Genomic DNA, 18944 nt, shown 5'->3' with positions numbered 1-18944 from the left:
ATTGAGAAAGTAGAGACAATAATAGCAGCTACCTATAAAGTTGTATTTGGGGATTGTGTTAGTCCAGTCTCATGCTGCTATAAAGAAATACTTGAGGCTGGGCTCAGTGGCTCATGCCTGTAATCCCAGCACCTTGGGAGGCCAAGGTGGGCGGATTGCCTGAGGTCAGGAGTTTGAGACCAGTCTGGCCAACATGGTGAAACCCGTGTCTACTAAAAATACAAAAAAATTAGCTGGGTATGGTGATGTGCATCTGTAATCCCAGCCACTTGGGAGGCTGAGGCAGGGGAATTGCTTGAACCAGGGAGGTGGAGGTTGCAGCGAGCCGAGATTGTGGCACTGCACTCCAGCCTGGGCAACAGAGCAATACTCCATCTCAAAAAAAAAAAAAAAAAGAAAAGAAAAGAAATACCTGAAACTGGGTAATTTATAAAGAAAAGAGGTTTAATCAGCTTATGGTTCTGTGGGCTGTACAGGCTTCTGCTTCTAGGGAGGCCTCAGGAAACTTAACAATCATGGGGGAAGGTGAAGGGGAAGCAGACACATGTTCACACGGCCGGCAGGAGAGAGAAGGAGGGGGGTGGTGCTACACACTTTGAAACAACCAGATCTCGTGAGAACTCTATCACAAGAACAGCAAGGGGGATGTTCATTCCCATGATTCAGTCACCTCCCACCAGAACCCTCCTCTAACACTGGGGATTACAATTTGACATGAAATTTGGGTGGGGACACAGAACGAAACCATTTCGGGGATTAAGTAGATAAGTTGTATTTAGAACAGTGGTGCCTAGCTGGATGCAGTGGCACATGCCTGTAGTCCTGCCTGGGCAATGTAGCAAGACCCTCTCTCTTAAAAGGAAAAAAAAAAAACAGTGACACTTAAACTTAAAAAGCACTTTTAACCGTTGGCTGTTTTATTGCCATCTTTCTCATTATTATACTTGTAAGGTGATTGAAATAATGGTTTAAATATATAGATTAACATTATTCATTTTAAGTTTTTTTCTCTATTCAGATGACCTGTGTAGAAAAAGCAGGAACAGATGAGAAAATGCTTATGAAGGTTTTTCGCTGTTTGGGAAGTTGGTTTAACTTGGGAGTTTTGGACAGTAACTTCATGGCTAACAATAAATTACTAGCACTCCTTTTTGAGGTTTTGGTAAGTAATGACCTTATTTATCAAAGTATTTCTGCCAATCACTTTTCGTAACTAACCTGCTGGGACATAAAAACGTTTTTAAATTTTTGCACAGTAACTGGAAGGCGTGTATTAAGAATGCAGCAATGTTCCTTCCTTGCTACGAGGTACCAAATTAGAAGTATCAGTTTTAATACTCCTAATAGGATATAGTTATGTTTAAGAGGAAAACAGTCTTATATGTTGATACATGATTTACATATTAAAATCCAAATAACCATTGGTATCTTTTTCCTTGTTTTAAAAATATAAAATTATGTATTTCAATAATGGTCATTGAATCCTAGACATTTCCATGATATAATTATGTGTGCATCACAAGTTTAGGAAAAAACAGAACAGGAAGAATTAAAAATTATGTTTAGTGCATCCAGAGACAATTATAGATTAAGATATTATCTTTGTAGTTGAGATTAGTTAAACATCGTATATGCAAAATGGATTTGGGTTTTTGAGATTAGTAGAATAAGTACTAATGTCTTTTTATATACTTGTGCGTTTCTTCTTTAAGCTTTGAAAGTAGCAGTGCCTAGTAATATAGTCTTGGTAGATAGGAGTTAGGGAGTGATTAGAATAAGATTACATTTTAGAACAAGAAACATAACATTATCTCAAGCATAAATATTATTGAAGGGGTCTTTGGAGACATGAAAAACTTTGTCTCTTTCTGCTGGAGGGTTTCCTTCAATGAAGATATATTAGTATGGAAGCTGCATGTATTGTGAATGTATGCCGATGCGCTATTACTCAGAAGATAGTACCATGATGCTAGATTGATGCCACTGTGAATTAAAGAAAAGAAAGACATTTTTCAAGGAGACATTTGGCATGTCATTGGTGTGTATTTCTGTGTCATTTTTGCATCAGAAGCTAAGCCTTAGGAAAATTAGGATGCCAATCATTGTTTTGCTTGCCATTGTCTGTCTCCATTTATGTTGGTATCTTTCCTCAATAATGATAATATTTATTATCACGTCAACAAATAGTGTGAAGAGTAATCACTGTAAATAAAGTCATGTCCCACTTTTGTTTAAAAAATGTACATGTGATTACATATAAATGGAGGACAGTGTAGAATACACTTCAAACTTAACAGTGGTAATTTCTGGGAATTGGAATTGGAGTAAGGAAGAAGTTAATTAGTGTTCCAGGATTATATTATCTCCTCTACTGATCCAGTGTCAGGACTCCTCTGTCACTAGTAAGAGTGTTTATCTAGAGTCAGGGTAAAATATATTCTTATTTTTACATTCATTCAGTGGTTTAAAATCATGCTACTTTTTTTCTTTTTAGGGGGAGTGTCACAGGGAGTCAGGGTGTCTCCCTGTCGTCCAGACTGGAGTAGCTCCATTGGCATGATTGTAGCTCACTGTAGTCTCAAACTCCTGGCTTCAAGCAATCTTCCTGCCTCAGCCTCCCAAGTAGCTGGGATATAGGCATGTGCCACCATGCCTGGCTAATTTTTAATTTTTTCTAGAGACAGGGTTTCTCTTTATTGCCCAGGCTAGTCTTGAACCGGCCTCAAGCAGTTCTCCCACCTCAGCCTCCCAAAGCACTGGGATTACAGATGTGAGCCACCACACCTGGCCATGTCACATTTTATTTTGCTGTATGTTTGGACCATGACTTTCTGGTACAACTTTCCCCCAACAGCTCTTAAAAAAAAAAAAAAAAAAAAACCCTAAAAATTAAAATACTTCATATATACAAAAGAATAAGTATGAACACTTACTATTTATTTATTTATTTTTGAGACAGAGTCTCCTCCCTCTGTCGCCCAGGCTGGAGTGCAGTGGCACAATCTCGGCTCACGGCAACCTTCGCCCTCTGGGTTCAAATGATTCTCCTGCCTCAGCCTCCTGAGTAGCTGGGACTACAGGTGTGTGCCACCACACCTGGCTAATTTTTTGTATTTTTTTTTTTTTTTTTTTTTTTTTGAGAGGGAGTCTCGCTCTGTCGCCGGGGCTGGAGTGCAGTGGCGCCATCTTGGCTCACTGCAAGCTCTGCATCCTGGGTTCATGCCATTCTCCTGCCTCAGCCTCCTCAGTAGCTGGGACTACAGGAACCTGACACCACGCCCGGCTAATTTTTTGTATTTTTAGTAGAGATGGGGTTTCACCGTGGTCTCGATCTCCTGACCTCGTGATCTACCGGCCTCAGCCTCCCAAAGTGCTGGGATTACAGGCGTGAGCCACCGCGCCCGGCCAATTTTTTGTATTTTTAGTAGAGACAGGGTTTCACTGTGTTAGCCAGGATGGTCTCGATCTCCTGACCTTGTGATCTGCCCACCTTGGCCTCCCAAAGTGCTGGGATTACAGGTGTGAGCCACCATGCCCAGCTCGAACACTGACTTTTTATAACTTGGTAATATAATGAGAATCTTTGAACCTACTATTCAATCTAAGAATACCTAATAAATAATTTGCATCTTTGTGCTCTCCCAAACCTGCTTATATACCTTTTTGTCCCACTGGAGATTTTAAATATCCTTTTAAAAAAATTATTCAAGGAAGACTAATACGCCCTTACTAAGTGTATTCAACCTCTCAACTGTACTCTCTTCACTAGAAACCCGGGAGGATTCCCTTCTTGGACCTTTTGGTCTGCTCTGATTTGCATCAGTTGTTCTTTAGATCTACTCCCTGTCATCTTGGGACTTGTCTTTACTGTGCTTTCTGGATTAGGTTAGCTGTTTCTCAAACCCCCTCAAATAACTTCTTCAGAAAAGATATAATGGAAAGTAAACTTGGAATTTTTGCATGCCTGAGAACTATTTTTATTTTGCTTTCGATCTTGATTGATGGCTCAGCTAGGTATTAAGTTGTAGGCTGAATATTATTTTCCTTCAAAATTTCAAAGGCCTTGCTCTCCTTTACTAGCATGCATCATTGTTAATGAAAAGTCAGAGAACTCTGAATTCTGCTCCTTACTATTACCTCCTCCTCTCTTCCCCTGAAATTTTACAGACCTTTGTTTAACTCTGGTATTCTGAAATTTCACAATGATGTGTTTAGGTATGTGTCTTTGATACTTGTTGAGCCCTTTCATTTTAGGTAGTACTTGAGTATCAGAAAAAGGATGGAAAAGATTTTTCACACACTAGAATAGGGTAGGGAACACATGGCTTTCCATTTGGAGGGGCTGGTGTGAACAAGAACATGGAGATTAGAAATGATACGACCATGACTTCGGGACAGAAAGGCTGATTTGCTTGACATATAAGGAAATAGAAATAAGATTGGGAAGATTGATGGATGTTGTCTCATGGAAGGCTATGACTTGACTGTTACACATTTAAAGTACATGTTCAGAAAGAGGCTATAATTGAAAGAAAGAAAGAGGCTCTAATTGTTTTCCTATTACATTTATCCATCACTATCTTCAAAGGATTGGTTCCAGGACCACCCACTACCCCTGCCCCTCTGTGCACAGTTTCCAAGAGATGCAGATGCCCAAGTCCCTTATATAAAATGGTGCAGTATTTGCATATAACCTATCCACATCTTCCCATATACTCTAAATCACCTGTAAATTACTTATAATACCTAATACAATGTAAATGCTATGTAAATAGTTGCTATAGGGTAATTTTTAAATTTGTGTTTTTCATTGTATTATTATTTACTTATATTTTGAATATTTTCTATCGATGGTTGATTGAACCCTAGGGTGTGCAGGGCCAACTGTAGATCACTCCTTAGTGATCATACTTCTTGCTTCCCTATTCCTGCTACCTCCCCAGCAACAGGATAAGACCTCGTCTAACCTACATGAAGCTGCTTCGGACTGTGTATGCTCAGCTCTCTATGCCATTGAGAATGTGGAGACTAACTTGCCATTAGCCATGCAACTTTTTCAGGGAGTGCTGACATTGGAGACTGCCTATCATATGGCCGTGGCACGTGAAGATTTAGACAAGTGAGTAATTGTTTAAGTCTGGAGCCCTGGGTTTACCTACAGTCTGGTCATTCTTTTAAGTCACTTTTTATTATTCGTCTGTCATTTGTGATTCTCAGTGATTCTGTAAAGTACAGATAGTGCTTCCTAAAGATGCTCTACTATGCTCTTCTGAACCTAGAGTGGCAAATTGGGTGCAGGGTTTGTAGAATTACCATAGAAAGGTAAGGCTTTAAAAGTTGGAGACAAATTTTAAAATATCAAGTGTGATTTGATGGGAGTTTTTATTCAAATGTTTTAATAATTGAGAATTTGAACTGACAAGTCACTTGCGTAGGAGTGTACGATCTAGGTAAAGGTGTCTGTCATGGGGATTGTGATACAGCATAGTAAATAATCACTAGATGTCCCTTAGACTGAGGAACCTTTTATTTATTTGATTAACTGTGCCTGTATATACTTATAATATCCAGATTTCTGACTCATTGTTCTCATTCCCCTGTCTTCTACAGAGTTCTGAATTACTGCCGTATTTTCACTGAACTATGTGAAACTTTTCTTGAAAAAATTGTTTGTACTCCAGGCCAAGGTCTTGGGGACCTTCGAACTCTGGAGCTGCTGCTTATCTGTGCAGGCCATCCTCAATATGAGGTAGTGTTTATGCTATTCAAAGGCCATTATTCTCCAAGTTGTGTGCTGCATATTATCTATATTTCATTACCTCGTGCCCAAATTTTTATTGTTGAGAAATTACAGTCTTGTTTTTAATTAATGTGATTTCATCTGTTTTGGAATTTTTTAAAAAAATTATATTTGGGTTTCTGCATTGTGTCCATTTCTGTTTTCTTACCTGGTTGGCTGGGCTGTTGTAGGCCCCTCAAGGAACTCGTTAGAAAGCAAGCCTTTCCAATGAACCCCTTGTCTAGCTTGACTTATTCTCTAGAGTGTTACAGCTAAAAAACACCAAATTCTAACTATACCTCCACAAGTCTTAACACCCCCAATTTTTCTCCAAATGATGGATGAGAATGACAAAGGGATTGAAAGGACTTAAGGGTCTCTGTCATTCAGAATCCTTGACATCCTACTTACCGAGGTTTGCTAGATTTTTTAAAATCTCATTTATTTGAGAAGTTTTACCTCTTTATAGTATAAGAAATGAGAAAGGGTCGGGGTTGGTGGCTCACACCTGTAATCCCAGCATTTTGGGAGGCCGAGGTGGGCAGATCACCTGAGGTCAGGAGTTTGAGACCAGCCTGGCCAACATGGTGAAACCCTGTCTCCACTAAAAATATAAAAATTAGTCAGGCGTGGTGGCTCACACCTGTAATATCCCAGCTACTTGGGAGGCTGAGGCAGGAGAATTGCTTGAACCTGGGAGGCAGAGGTTGTAGTGAGCTGAGATCGGGCCACTGCACTCCAGCCTGGGAGACGAGCGAAACTCCGTCTCAAAAAAAAAAAAAAAAGTGAGAAAGAAGTGCTCCCAAGTTGGGCATTGTTTTAAATAGCTCTGTTTTGGATCCTTGATGGGAAAAGGATGGTAGGGATCCTCTTACTGTGCCTTAGGCACAGTGGTCCTGTGACTCTCGGCCTGTTTTCTGTTATCACATACAAGACAACGTTTATTTGTTTTACATAATGTTACGAGGATACCTAGATTTGAATGGAACCCAAAACATTTCTGGGAGAATGTAACACCACGCAGTTATCACTCCTTTAAACAGTACCATATGGAAAAGAGGCTACGAGTAAAATCCCAGGCTTTTTCTCCCTTTCTCTCACACTCAAGGAAACAGGTGAATAAAAGTGACATGAAGCTGAATCAGTTATGTTCAGGAGTTACAGATGGTTTGCCAAGTAAGAAATGTTCTAATCTCAAACATTCAATGAAATGATTTCAGAATTTTCAGAAAAGTACTTTAAAAAAGACTTCTGGCCGGGCGCAGTGGCTCACGCCTGTCAGCACCTTGGGAGGCCGAGGTGGGCAGATCATAAGGTCAGGAGTTCAAGACCAGCCTGACCAACATGATGAAACCCCATCTTTACTAAAAATACAAAAATTAGCTGGGGTGATGGTGCGCACCTGTAATCGCAGCTACTCAGGAGGCTGAGGCAGGAGAATCACTTGAACCCAGGAGGTGGAAGTTGCAGTGAGCCAAGATCACACCACTGTACTCCAGCCTGGGTGACAGAGCAAGACTCCATCTCAAAAAAAATAAATAAATAAAAATAAAAAGACTTCTGGCTGGGCACAGTGGTTTATACCTCTAATGAGGTTCATACCTCTTAACACTTTTGGAGGCTGAGGTGGGAGGATTGCTTGAGCCCATGAGTTCGAGACCAGCCTGGGCAACAAAGCAAGACCTTGTCTCTACAGAAAATTTAAAAAATTAGCTGGGTGTGGTGGTGCACACCTTTCATCCCAGCTACTCAGGAGGCTGAATGGGAGGATCACTTGAGCCCAGGAGTTTGAGGCTGCAGTGAGCCATGATTACACCACTGTACTCCAGCCTAGATGGCAGAGCAAGACCCTGTCGCTACAGAAAATTTTAAAAATTAGCCAGACATGGTGGCAAGCGCCTGTAGTCCTCCTAGCTACTCAGGAGGCTGTGTGGAAGGATTGCTTGAGCCCAGAAGTTCAAGGCTGCAGTGAGCCATGATTGTGCCACTGTGCTCCAGCCTAGGCGACCCTGTCTCTAAAGAAAATATATATATCTTTTGAGACAGGGTCTCACTCTGTTGCCTAGGCTGGAATGCTGTGGTGCAATCACAGCTCACTGTAGCCTCAGCCTCCTGGGCTCAGGTGATCCTCCAACCTCAGCCTCCTGAGTAGCTGGGAATACAGGCATGTGCCACCTACATGCCTGGCTAATTTTTGTATTTTTTTAGAGATGGTGTTTCGCGCCTGGCTGAAATTTGTTTTAAATAAAATAAAACTATGTGGTGGCTCATGCCTGTAGTCCCAGCACTTTGGGAGACCTAGGTGGGAGGATTACTTGAGGGCAGGAGTTCAAAACCATCCTGAGCAAGATGGCAAGGCCCTGTTTCTACTAAAAAAAAAAAAAAAAAAAAAAATTAGCTGAGCTTGGTGGTGTGTACCTGTAGTCCCAGCTACTTGGGAGGCTGAGGCAGGAGGATCACTTGAGCTCAGGAGTTTGAGGCAGCAGTGAACTGTGTTCATTCCACTGCACTCTAGCTGGGGCAACAGAATGAAACTCCGTCTCTAAAAAATAAATAAAAATAAAGACTTCCATGTCTGTTATTGTTTTCTCTAAATTCAAAATTCAGTATACTTTTGGAGGCATTACCTCAGGACTAAATGGAATGTAAAGCCAGTCATTCTAAATGGAGATTTGGGCCTAACGTGGGAAGACAATTTGGGGAGATAATAGTAAATCTGCTAGAGAAAAGGTGACTTCTTAACTGGCTCCACTCATATTATTTAAAAATATATCTTTCTTCCTATATGGTCGTGGTGATAATAAAATGTCTTCTTATTCTATTCCTTTCCCATTCAAATAAATCATCTCTTTTAACCTAACAGGTAGTAGAAATTTCATTTAACTTTTGGTACCGACTGGGGGAACATTTGTACAAAACTAACGATGAAGTTATTCATGGCATCTTCAAAGCTTACATTCAGAGGCTGCTTCACGCCTTGGCTCGACACTGCCAGCTGGAACCAGACCATGTAAGTTCCCTTCTCTACCTCTTCAAATCTTAATTTCTTCCTCTTGTCAGTGCCAACTTGAAAAGGAACTGAGAAGATAGATAATAAACCTGGCTGGGCACCCTGGCTCATGCCTGTAGTCCAGCACTTTGGGAGGCCAAGGCAGATGAATCGTTAGAGCCCAGGAATTCAAGACCAGCCTGGGCAACATAGGGAATCCCCTGTCTCTACAAAAAGAAATAAAAGAAAATTAGCTGGGCCTGGTGGCACACGCCTGTAGTCCTAGCTACTCAGGAAGCTGAGTTGGGAGGATTGGCAGACTCTACAGCTTATACTGAAGAAGTCAGTACCAGTATAATCTGTTAGGTCTATTTAGGGAAAAAAAAAAGCAAAACACTCCAGCTAAACCAGTAATTCTTTTCCTGGGAGTATATCTTAAATCTGCAGAAGAAAAAAACAGCTATTTTATATACAAAATGTTATCTGTAAAAGTAAAAATTATAAACCCATGTACAGCAGTATAACAAGAGTTATATGAATTATATAAGAAGAGTTATGATTTAGCAACTTGATGCAGCAATTAAAAGGTAGTGAAATGATGATATGGTAAGAGAAAAATCAGAATGTAAAATTATGTACTCTTTTTTTTTTTTTTTTTTTTTTTTTTGAGACGGAGTCTCGCTCTGTCACCCAGGCTGGAGTGCAGTGGCGTGATCTCTGCTCACTGCAAACTCTGCCTCCTGGGTTCACGCCATTCTCCTGTCTCAGCCTCCCGAGTAGCTGGGATTACAGGCACCCGCCACCATGCCAGGCTAATTATTTGTATATTTAGTAGAGATGGGGTTTCACCGTGTTAGCCAGGATGGTCTCGATCTCCTGACCTCATGATCCACCCACCTCAGCCTCCCAAAGTGCTGAGATTACAGGTGTGAGCCACCGCCCCTGGCCAAAATTTTGTACCTTATTAAATAGTAGAAAATAAGTGGTTAGATGAAAACTAATACAAAAGTGAAATATTTGTGTGTATGATTTTGCCCCATGAAGATACACATTTTTTAAATCTTATTTATACTGATTTTGTAGTTTAAAAGAATATAGAAATCTATTTGCTTAGAAAAAAATACTAGAAAATTATTAGTTTATTAGAAAACTCTTCAAACATCATGCTTAGTCTCTTCAAATTTTGCCACATCGATTTCATCCTGTTGGTTGGTTGAATCCGTCCTTTAATCTAGGACCTGCAGTAAGTTTTATTGCTTACAATTAAATCCCACGTGCTGTTCTCTTAATTTTAATGTTAGTATTGTGTTTGAGTCATGGTATTTTGTATCTCCACACAACCTTAGTCATGATTTAGTCTGGTGGTTTTCAAACTGCACCCACCCCCGCTATTTTTTAAAGTGAAGAATCCAACTGGGCGTGGTGGCTCATGCCTGTAATCCCAGCACTTTGGGAGGCCGAGGCGGGTGGATCACTTGAGGTCAGGAATTTGAGACCGGCCTGGCCAACGTGGCAAAACCCCGTCTCTACTAAAAATACAAAAATTAGCTGGGCATGGTGGCAGGTTCCTGTAATCCCAGCTACTCAGGAGGCTGAGGCAGGAGAATCACTTGAACCCAGGAGGTGGAGGTTGCAGTGAGCCAAGATTGCGCCACTGCACTCCAGCCTGGGCAGTAGAGCAAGACTCAGTCTCAAAAAAATAAAATAAAGTGAAGACTCCTGTCTTCAACCACATTTTACTTGGAAGCCTGATTTATAAAGCAGGGCCCCTTTGGTTTAAATGGCTCTGTGCTTGATCCCTTTTTTGCCTTTGCTAATTCTGTGGCACCATTTCCCTTGCGGGTAATTTCTTACACTTGTAAGTGTATAGCGCTTTATAATTTGTATAGTGCTTTATAATGTTAGCCATTATCTCATCTGAGATAGCCATCGTTTCCTCCTCATTCCTTCACCTTAATTTCTTCATCTTAAAGCAAGGAGCTTGAACTAGATTAGCAATTCTCAATAGTACTAAGGGCTTTTCCTAGGTATTTGGGCCCAAGATTCTTGTACGTGCCTTTAACCATCTTATAATTGGTAACTCTGTTTACAGAAGTGTGTCAGAATAGGAAAGATACAGAAGTGTTTGGAATAGGAAACCATGGAATATAAATGATCTTTAAATTTTTTAATGACAAATTTCAAATGCACAGCAAACATAAAATAATGTCATAGAGAATATCTGTATACCTACCACCTAAATTCCACTATTCATATTTTACTATGCTTGTTTTTTATATCTGTCCACCTACATGAAATGTTTTAAGTTTAAAATTCTGGGCTGGGCTCACATCTGTAATCCCAGCACTTTGGAAGGCCAAGGCAGGAGGATCACTTGAACCCAGGAGTTTGAGACCAGCCTGGGTAATATAGTGAGACCTTACCTCTATAAAAAAATTTTAAAAATTAACTGAGGCCAGGCACGTGGCTCATGCCTATAATCCCGGAACTTTGGGAGGGCAAGGCGGGCAGATCGCTTGAGCTCAGGAGTTTGAGACCAGCCTGGGCAACATGGCAAAACCCTAACTCTACAAAAAATATAAAAATTAGCCAAGCGTGGTGGTGCATGCCTATAGTCCCAGCTGCTCCGGGGCTGAGGTGGGAGGATTGCTTAAGCCCAGGAGGTCAAGGCTGCAGTGAGCCGAGATCATGTCACTGCACTCCAGCCTGGGTGACAGAGCGAGACCTTGTCTCAAAAATAAAAATAAAAGTATATTTTCTGTGTGAAGTTATTGTGACAGTGGTTGATTTTGGTAGATCTTGAAACATAAATCTTCAATTTGTTTGTCACTAAAGAGCTGACCTTCTCTAGATAGGCTTATCACTTAATTTACTACTTCTTCCAGGTCACTTCTCACTCTCCCCAAGCCACATTTTTCCAACAACAAAACAAGCTGTAGCTTAGAAATACAAAACACAGCAGGGCATGCCGGCTCACGGTGGCTAACACTTTGGGAGGTCGAGGTGGGCAGCTGACTTGAGGTCAGGAGATCGAGACCAGCCTGGCCAACATGGTAAAACCCTGTCTCTACTAAAAATACAAAAATTAGTCGGGTGTGGTGGCGTGTGTCTGTAATCCCAGTTACCTGGGAGGCTGAGGCAGGAGAATCACTGGAACCTGGGAGGCGGAGGGTGCAGTAAGCAGAGATCGCACCACTGCACTCCAGCCTGGGCGACAGAGTGAGCTTCCGTCTCAAAAAAATAAAAATAAAATACAAAACACACACACAAACCAAAGATTTTCTCCTGGTAAAGGCAGAGAATAGGTTGTCTTGACTTGGCATACCTCACAATTTAGGAAACCCTCTGTCTAAAATAAAATACCCTCGTGATTTAGGCAACTTTTGTTCATTGAAACTTGACTGCTTAATGGTTTTTTTCTTCTTCTTGATTTTATAGAGGTCATTGAAAGCCGCAGTGAGTTTAAAGCAGATGTTATCTGATTTGATATTTTAGGAGGGGGTTCCTGAGGAGACTGATGACTTTGGGGAGTTTCGCATGAGGGTATCAGACCTGGTAAAGGACTTGATTTTCTTGATAGGGTCTATGGAGTGTTTTGCTCAGGTAAGCCTATTTGGAGATTGTTTCCAGTTTTACTAGTCACCTTAATTGTATTCACTTCTGTGTCTTCTGTGAATGTTCCATCTTATTTCTTCAATTTTAGTGGCTGAATGAGATAATAGATATGCAAGTGCCTAGCACACTGCCTGGCATATAGTAGCTATGTTTATTTAACATTTTACAAGTCAGTTGCAGTTTATGGATGATTCGGTTATGGTTTACTCTGTATGCTTGCACTGATTGCTGTTCCACTTGTACAGCTGGAATAGAAGATCATAGATAAGCATTAAAGCCTCTAGGATACTTATAGGGAATTTGGACCTAGCCAGGAACAATAGGCAAGTGTTTCTGCTTTAGTAATTACGTACCAACTCCTGGTAACTCTTGTAGTTATTTGGCATTATCTTTGTCCACACTTATGGTTAGATTCCTGTGCAGTTTCGTCCCAGAGGTGACTATGCTAGAGTAGAAGATTCATAGTCCAGGGGTTTTCCTGACAATCACTGAGTAACATTTTACCTCATAAGGTTACAATCATCATCATTCCATATCACTTAACATTAGTTTAATTTCAGGCAGTTTTCATATTGCTGTATTATATTCTAATGAGCTCTGAAATACCACTTTGGAAGCTTTGTCACAGCAATACTAAACTAACCTAATTTTTTTTTTTTTGGTAACTCAGTCATTTTTTGTATATTTGGGTGTAATATGATCTAAAAAGTATTAATAAAAGTATAACTATTTTCATTATATTAAGCAAAGCATGCTTATTGACCCATCTATGAAGAGTTGAGGATTCTTAGAAAGCCACTTAAATGAGATCCCTGGATCTTAGACAGATGACCTCTGCTCAGATTTCAGCTCATCTCTCTTTAGCTCTATGGCTTTGAGAAATCCTTTGATCTTCTCAATCCTTTGACTTAATTTACAAATTATGTAAATTATCAATGTTGTTCAAGATATAGTCTGTGGAACACCAACCCCATGAGATATTTTTTGCCAAAAAAAAGTTATTAATTAAAATTAGGAAATGGTATAAATAGTATATTAAAGGCTCTGTGAAGTTGTATAATAAGAGAGCTGTTTAATTTTGCCTTTCCTAGCAGTGTCTGTTATTTCACTATAAAAATATTATTTAGTCACATTCTGTAGGTGGATATAATCTGGGAAATTGTGGACCAGAACATCTCTGAGTATTCTGCTAGGTGTACCTTTTTTTAAAAAAATTAATTCTGCTTGGATACAGTATTGTGATAGGTGCTTCTAAACAGCTGCTTTTTAGGAATTCAGTCAGTACTACCAGTGTTGATGCAGACAAGTAGTTAAAACAATAGAAATGTAAAGCCAATACATATATAGAGGATTTACATTGTATCTCTATTTTAAGTGTGTTTATGTATTTATCAGTTATTATCAGGACCAGGAAAAGACACTCATATACTGTGTTTTGTTTTTCTCATAGTAGTCATTTTCTGGGGGCAGATGATAATTTTGATAAACTCTTGCGGGTCTAAATGGGTTTATTTCAAATATTAAAATAGTTACTCCTAGTTAGTGATGATATAAAAAAAAGAAAATAATATTCTCATCTGGCTTGAGAGGTAATTAGATTTAGAAACAAGAAGCAGGATTTACTTTAACTGGATTTTTTGTTTTGTTTGTTTTGGCATTCTGTTTTCCTTTTAATGGATCCATAATCCACCTCTTCTTCTCTAGTTATATTCTACTCTGAAAGAAGGCAACCCACCCTGGGAGGTGACAGAAGCGGTTCTCTTTATCATGGCTGCTATAGCAAAGAGTGTTGATCCGTGAGTGTCTCATAAGTCTTTTGCTGGGAACTCTAAATATCAAGAGGAAGGAAAATGACACTATTTTTTTTTTCTTATATGGTATATACCTGGAGACTTTCAGAACTTCTTACTTCTGTTGTGCCGTCTAGTCTTCTGACTTCTAGAGTCTAGTCCAGGGTAGCCTGAATTGCTGATACCATGTTTTAACAGCATTTCCTAGAGTTGAAATTATTTTATTCTTGATGCTAGGAATAGAATGCTGATTTATTTTTCCAACTGAGGCTCCCTTGTGAAAGTTGGTATGGTAAAGAATTTGTTAGACTGTTTAATTGTTGGTACTTGCTTAAAAGCAATTGAATAGACACTAATTTGGGTTTCCTGCTTTTGTGACCTTGGGTAAGTTATTCTTACAAAATTAATTACATTGTTTCAGAGAGGCAAGGCATAGGCACCTTTTCACCTAAAAGAGCCAGATCTAAAGGGCAATTACTGTTTTTGTTATTGCCATTGAAAAATTTCAAATTATTCAAATTTTACTTCTAATTCCATAGAAATTCTATTTATGACACGAAGCCCTAGAGACAAAATTTACTTTGTGCCATGAGTATATAAATCGATGTTAATATCTGCCACGCTGAATTGTGACCTGATACCTGCAGTCAAGCTCTGTATTCAGTCTTGATTGGAGAGATGGTTAAGGCAGATATTTATAAAAAGCACAATGCTTCTTTCTTAGCTGCCTTTCAGGGCCTCGTCAGTGGCATATTGTTTCTAATCCAGTAAATATTCAAGGAGGTCGAATAGGTTTATTTTTCTCTGTTAAGAAGTCCTGGTCCTTAATTATGTACCACACTATTTACTCTTAAACCAATTTTGGTGTCATTTTGAACCTTCTGTGACAAGTCTGAAGATTATTAAAATCATTAATGTTCTAACTAATATGTCTTGGTTTGAAAAATGATGGCTAGATAGTCTTCGTTAATTGACTTAGTGTCCCTAGGAAACATAAGTCATAAATGAGAGATTTGATATTTTTTTTGTTTATATGCATTTCAAGCCAACTGCATGATTATAATTTTTTAGTGCATATAAAAGGACTTAATAGACTAGTTTATTAGCAGAGGGTGGTCTTGCTGTAATCCAGGATATTATTTACATTTTAAACATCTTTCATTTCTGGATTAAGTTCTGCCACTTTAGGGGTATCCTCCACTCTACTCAAAAGGCCGTTAGCCAGTATATTTTGTGGGGGACAGAGGGAGGAGAGGGAACAGATAAACTCATGGAGCTATGGAAAGTGTTTGGTTAACTTTAATTTTCCCTCATGTTCCAAATCGGGGCAACTTAATCTATTCCTGCAGCTTATTTTCTTGTTCTTTCAATTAGTGAGCTGCCTACCCATACTTAACCTGTTCTTAAAGTTTCCAATATCCAGCTATAAGAAATCTTTTGGAGCAAAACAACAGAGAATGGTCTATGAGAATTATTCATTCATCTGTTTAGCCATTCAGCAATATTTATTGAGTGCCCACTATGTGCCAGGCACTGTTCTAGGTGCTGCAGCTATAGGACTAAATAAAATAGATTCTTTAGAAGAAGACATTCATCCACAGTAAATGTCTGCCTCTCCAATTTAAAGAGCCTGCATTTGATAGCTTGATGTGTCTGTAGGCACTTTACTGGCATTCAGAAGATTAAGGAGCAGTATGCTTTTCCTGAAACAATATCTTTCATTTCTATCTTTTCCTCTTTTTTGAAGATTTGAAAATCTTTCATAACAAATACCAAGTACTTTTATCTTAATGGTTGTTTAGAAAGAAGCCCTTTAGCAATGCTGTGTGTCGTCACAGCCTGTTATTTGGCCAGAATATAACCTCTGAAATCAGTAACTGTGAGTACTTACCGCCTGTACTCAGGGAAAACAATCCAACACTTGTGGAAGTCCTAGAAGGAGTTGTCCGCCTCCCGGAGACCGTACATACGGCTGTGCGATACACCAGCATTGAATTGGTTGGAGAGATGAGTGAAGTCGTTGATCGAAATCCTCAGTTCCTTGGTATGTGTAATCTCTCTCCTCTGCCACTTCTAACTTGTCATTTTTCTGATTTTTCTTCTCATCTCTTACTTTTGCATGTGTTTTCCTTTCTGTTTTTTTAACACGGAGTGTTTATAGAAACTGAGAGTAAACAATATGTTGTAAGTTAGTGCTTATTTGATATAACATTTATAATCTGATCTGGGAGAAGGACCTTTGAAAGATTAGATCTACAGATAGGGAAACAGTGAACAATTTGCTTCTAGTACTCTGTTTAAGCATGAACATTTCTATCTCTGTTAGTCTTTGGCATATGCTTGAGCTAATCAGAATCTCTTACAATTTTAACATACTAGAAGCTACTCAAGGACCAAAGCAAAGGAGATAATTTTTCACTTGTAATACATGCTTCATTTAAAAGCCAAGAATTATTCAAAACTAAATAACTGCAAATTAAAATGAAGACTTATATAACCTCTGGGTGTCCTTATTGACTTGAAAAAATAACTAAAGATCGTAACAACTTTAGAATTGAAGGTAAAGTTAGAAATGATTTATTCTAACCTCCTCTTTTTATAGACAAGGAAACTGAGGCCCAAAGAGACGAAATGACTTTTCCAGGGTAATATATATCAAGCCCTGACATTTAAGAGGGATACATTCTGAGAATTTTAGGAATACCAAAATTTGTGATTAGTATTATATCATTAAGTTTGATGTGTTTCCTGTGTATATCTTTATTATCGCCTTTTTACTTGATTTTATTTTATACATCTGTTTTTAGTGACTGAAACACATGCTAAAAAGAGTGAATGTGTTCTTTGTTTCTATACACTGAGCTGCTTTCTAAGTTCAACGTACTATTTCTTTTTTTTGTTGTTTTTGTTTTTGTTTTTTGTTGTTTTGAGATAGAGTCTCGCTCTGTTGCCCAGGCTGAAATGCAGTGGCCTGATCTCAGCTCACTGCAACCTCCACCTCCTAGGTTCAAGTGATTCTCCTGCCTCAGCCTCCCAAGTAGCTGGGATTACAAGTGCATGCCACCATGCCCACTATTTTTGTATTTTTAGTGGAGACAGGGTTTCGCTATGTTGGGCAGGCTGGTCTCGAACTCCTGACCACAAGTAATCTGCCCGCCTCAGCCTCCCAAAGTGCTAGGATTACAGGCGTGAGCCACCACGCCTGGCCCAACATACTATTTCCAAGTGATTTCAATATGGCTGTTTTTTAGTTCTTAGATTTCTGCACTTTATCTGGCTCAACATTTGGCTTTCTTTTCTGAACCATTTTTCCACCAAGAAACATAGTAGATTTGTTTGTTTTAATACCTTCAGTTAATGTCCAGAAAGCAGCAAATCTAGGTTGACTTGCAGACTCTTATCAAAAGATTTATCATTCAGTGCCACCTTGCAGTATCTCATTCAGATTTGTGCCTCAGCAGTAGACAGATTGCTCTATGTTCATACTCAGAATAGTCAAAACCACAAACACCCAATTTGGGAATCACAGAAGTCTACATTATTAGAGTTGCTTGGGCTAGGTTCTAGATTCTAGGTCTTTTGATTCCTAGACTAAACAGGGTGGGGTTTTGGTTTTGTTTTTTTCTTTTTGGTGGAGGTAGGCAGATTGTGCTGAGTTTGGGCATTGTATTGATCATTAGACTAGAAATGGACATAATGGTTTTAAATGGGCTTTAAGACATTATTATTGGCCAGGCATGGTGGCTCACACCTGTAATCCCAGCACTTTGGGAGGCTGAGGCGAGAGGATCATCTGAGTTCAAGAGTTCGAGACCAACCTGGCCAACAGGCGAAACCTCGTCTCTACTAAAAATACAGGAAAATTAGCTGGGCTTGGTGGCGCATGCCTGTAATCCCAGCTAGTTGGGAGGCTGAGGCAGGGAGAATCACTTGAACCCGGGAGGCGGAGTTTGCAGTGAGCCGAGATTGCGCCACTACACTCCAGCCTGGGTGACTGAGCGAGACTCCATCTCAAGAAAAAAGAAAAAAAAAGATGTTATTATTTTGATTCTTTCCACTTTTTCACAGTTTGCTACAAGGTCAATATAAAGTACTCACAATGACCTTTAACAACACATGGTTTTTTGCCCAGGCGTGGTGGCTTACAGTGGTAACCCCAGCACTTTGGGAGGCTGAGGTAGGCGTATCACTTGAGGCCAGGAGTTTGAGACCAGCCTGGCCAATGTGGTGAAACAATCGTCTCTACTAAAAATACAAAAATTAGCTGGGCTTGACGCATGCCTGTAGTCCCAGCTACTCAGGAGGCTAAGGCAGGATAATTGCTTGAACCTGCGAGATGGAGGTTGCAGTGAGCTGAGATCGTGCCACTGTACTCCAGCCTGTGGGACAGAGTGAGGCTCCGTCCCCAAAAACAATATATGGTTTTTCTAAGGTTTTTTTCCTATAGAAAAAAAATCTGATTTTTATAAAAGAAGATAAAAAGATGAGTAGAATTAGCTCTATAGAAATTCAACTTTATGATAAACTTTCTTGGAGCACTTACATTTGGTAAAATTAAAACATACTGAATTAATTCATCTAGAAGTGCTAAAGATTCATCTGCCTATTTTTAAGGCCTTTTGTAACTAGAAAGAAGCAAGTATAAAAGTTTCAGCTTTAGACAACTATCCTTGTCCTGATTCATATAGGCTGTTTTACCAAGTAATTCATCCCTCGGTATAATTGTAACTCCCTGAGCTTTGCATTCTTTCTTACATTGCCATATTCTTAA

The 18944-nt window shown here is 39.5% G+C and overlaps 1 protein-coding gene across 30 annotated transcripts in view; it reads left to right on the top strand.

Moving 5' to 3' along the window:
- Positions 1-18944, top strand: part of TNPO3 (transportin 3) — a 102009-nt gene that overhangs the window by 50016 nt on the left and 33049 nt on the right. For 20 of the 30 annotated variants that reach the window (NR_167925.1, NR_167916.1, NR_167924.1 and 17 more), the window contains 7 exons: positions 1019-1162; positions 4944-5119; positions 5611-5749; positions 8643-8789; positions 12264-12371; positions 14088-14179; positions 16078-16217. Coding sequence is in view for 12 of the 30 variants with exons in the window: in XM_047420091.1 (XP_047276047.1) it covers positions 1019-1162; positions 4944-5119; positions 5611-5749; positions 8643-8789; positions 12264-12371; positions 14088-14179; positions 16078-16217 (946 nt within the window). In the remaining 18 variants the exon portion in view is untranslated. Of the gene's footprint in view, positions 1-1018; positions 1163-1877; positions 2039-4943; positions 5120-5610; positions 5750-6887; positions 6956-8642; positions 8790-12263; positions 12372-14087; positions 14180-15975; positions 16218-18944 lie in introns of all 30 variants that reach the window. The other 10 variants (NR_167927.1, NM_001382216.1, NR_167917.1 and 7 more) reach the window with 7 other exon arrangements.

Source organism: Homo sapiens, chromosome 7 (genome assembly GCF_000001405.40).
Source record: "Homo sapiens chromosome 7, GRCh38.p14 Primary Assembly".
NCBI lineage: Eukaryota > Metazoa > Chordata > Mammalia > Primates > Hominidae > Homo > Homo sapiens.
The sequence above is the reverse complement of the archived record's forward strand: the minus strand, read 5'-3'. Positions and strand labels throughout refer to the sequence as shown.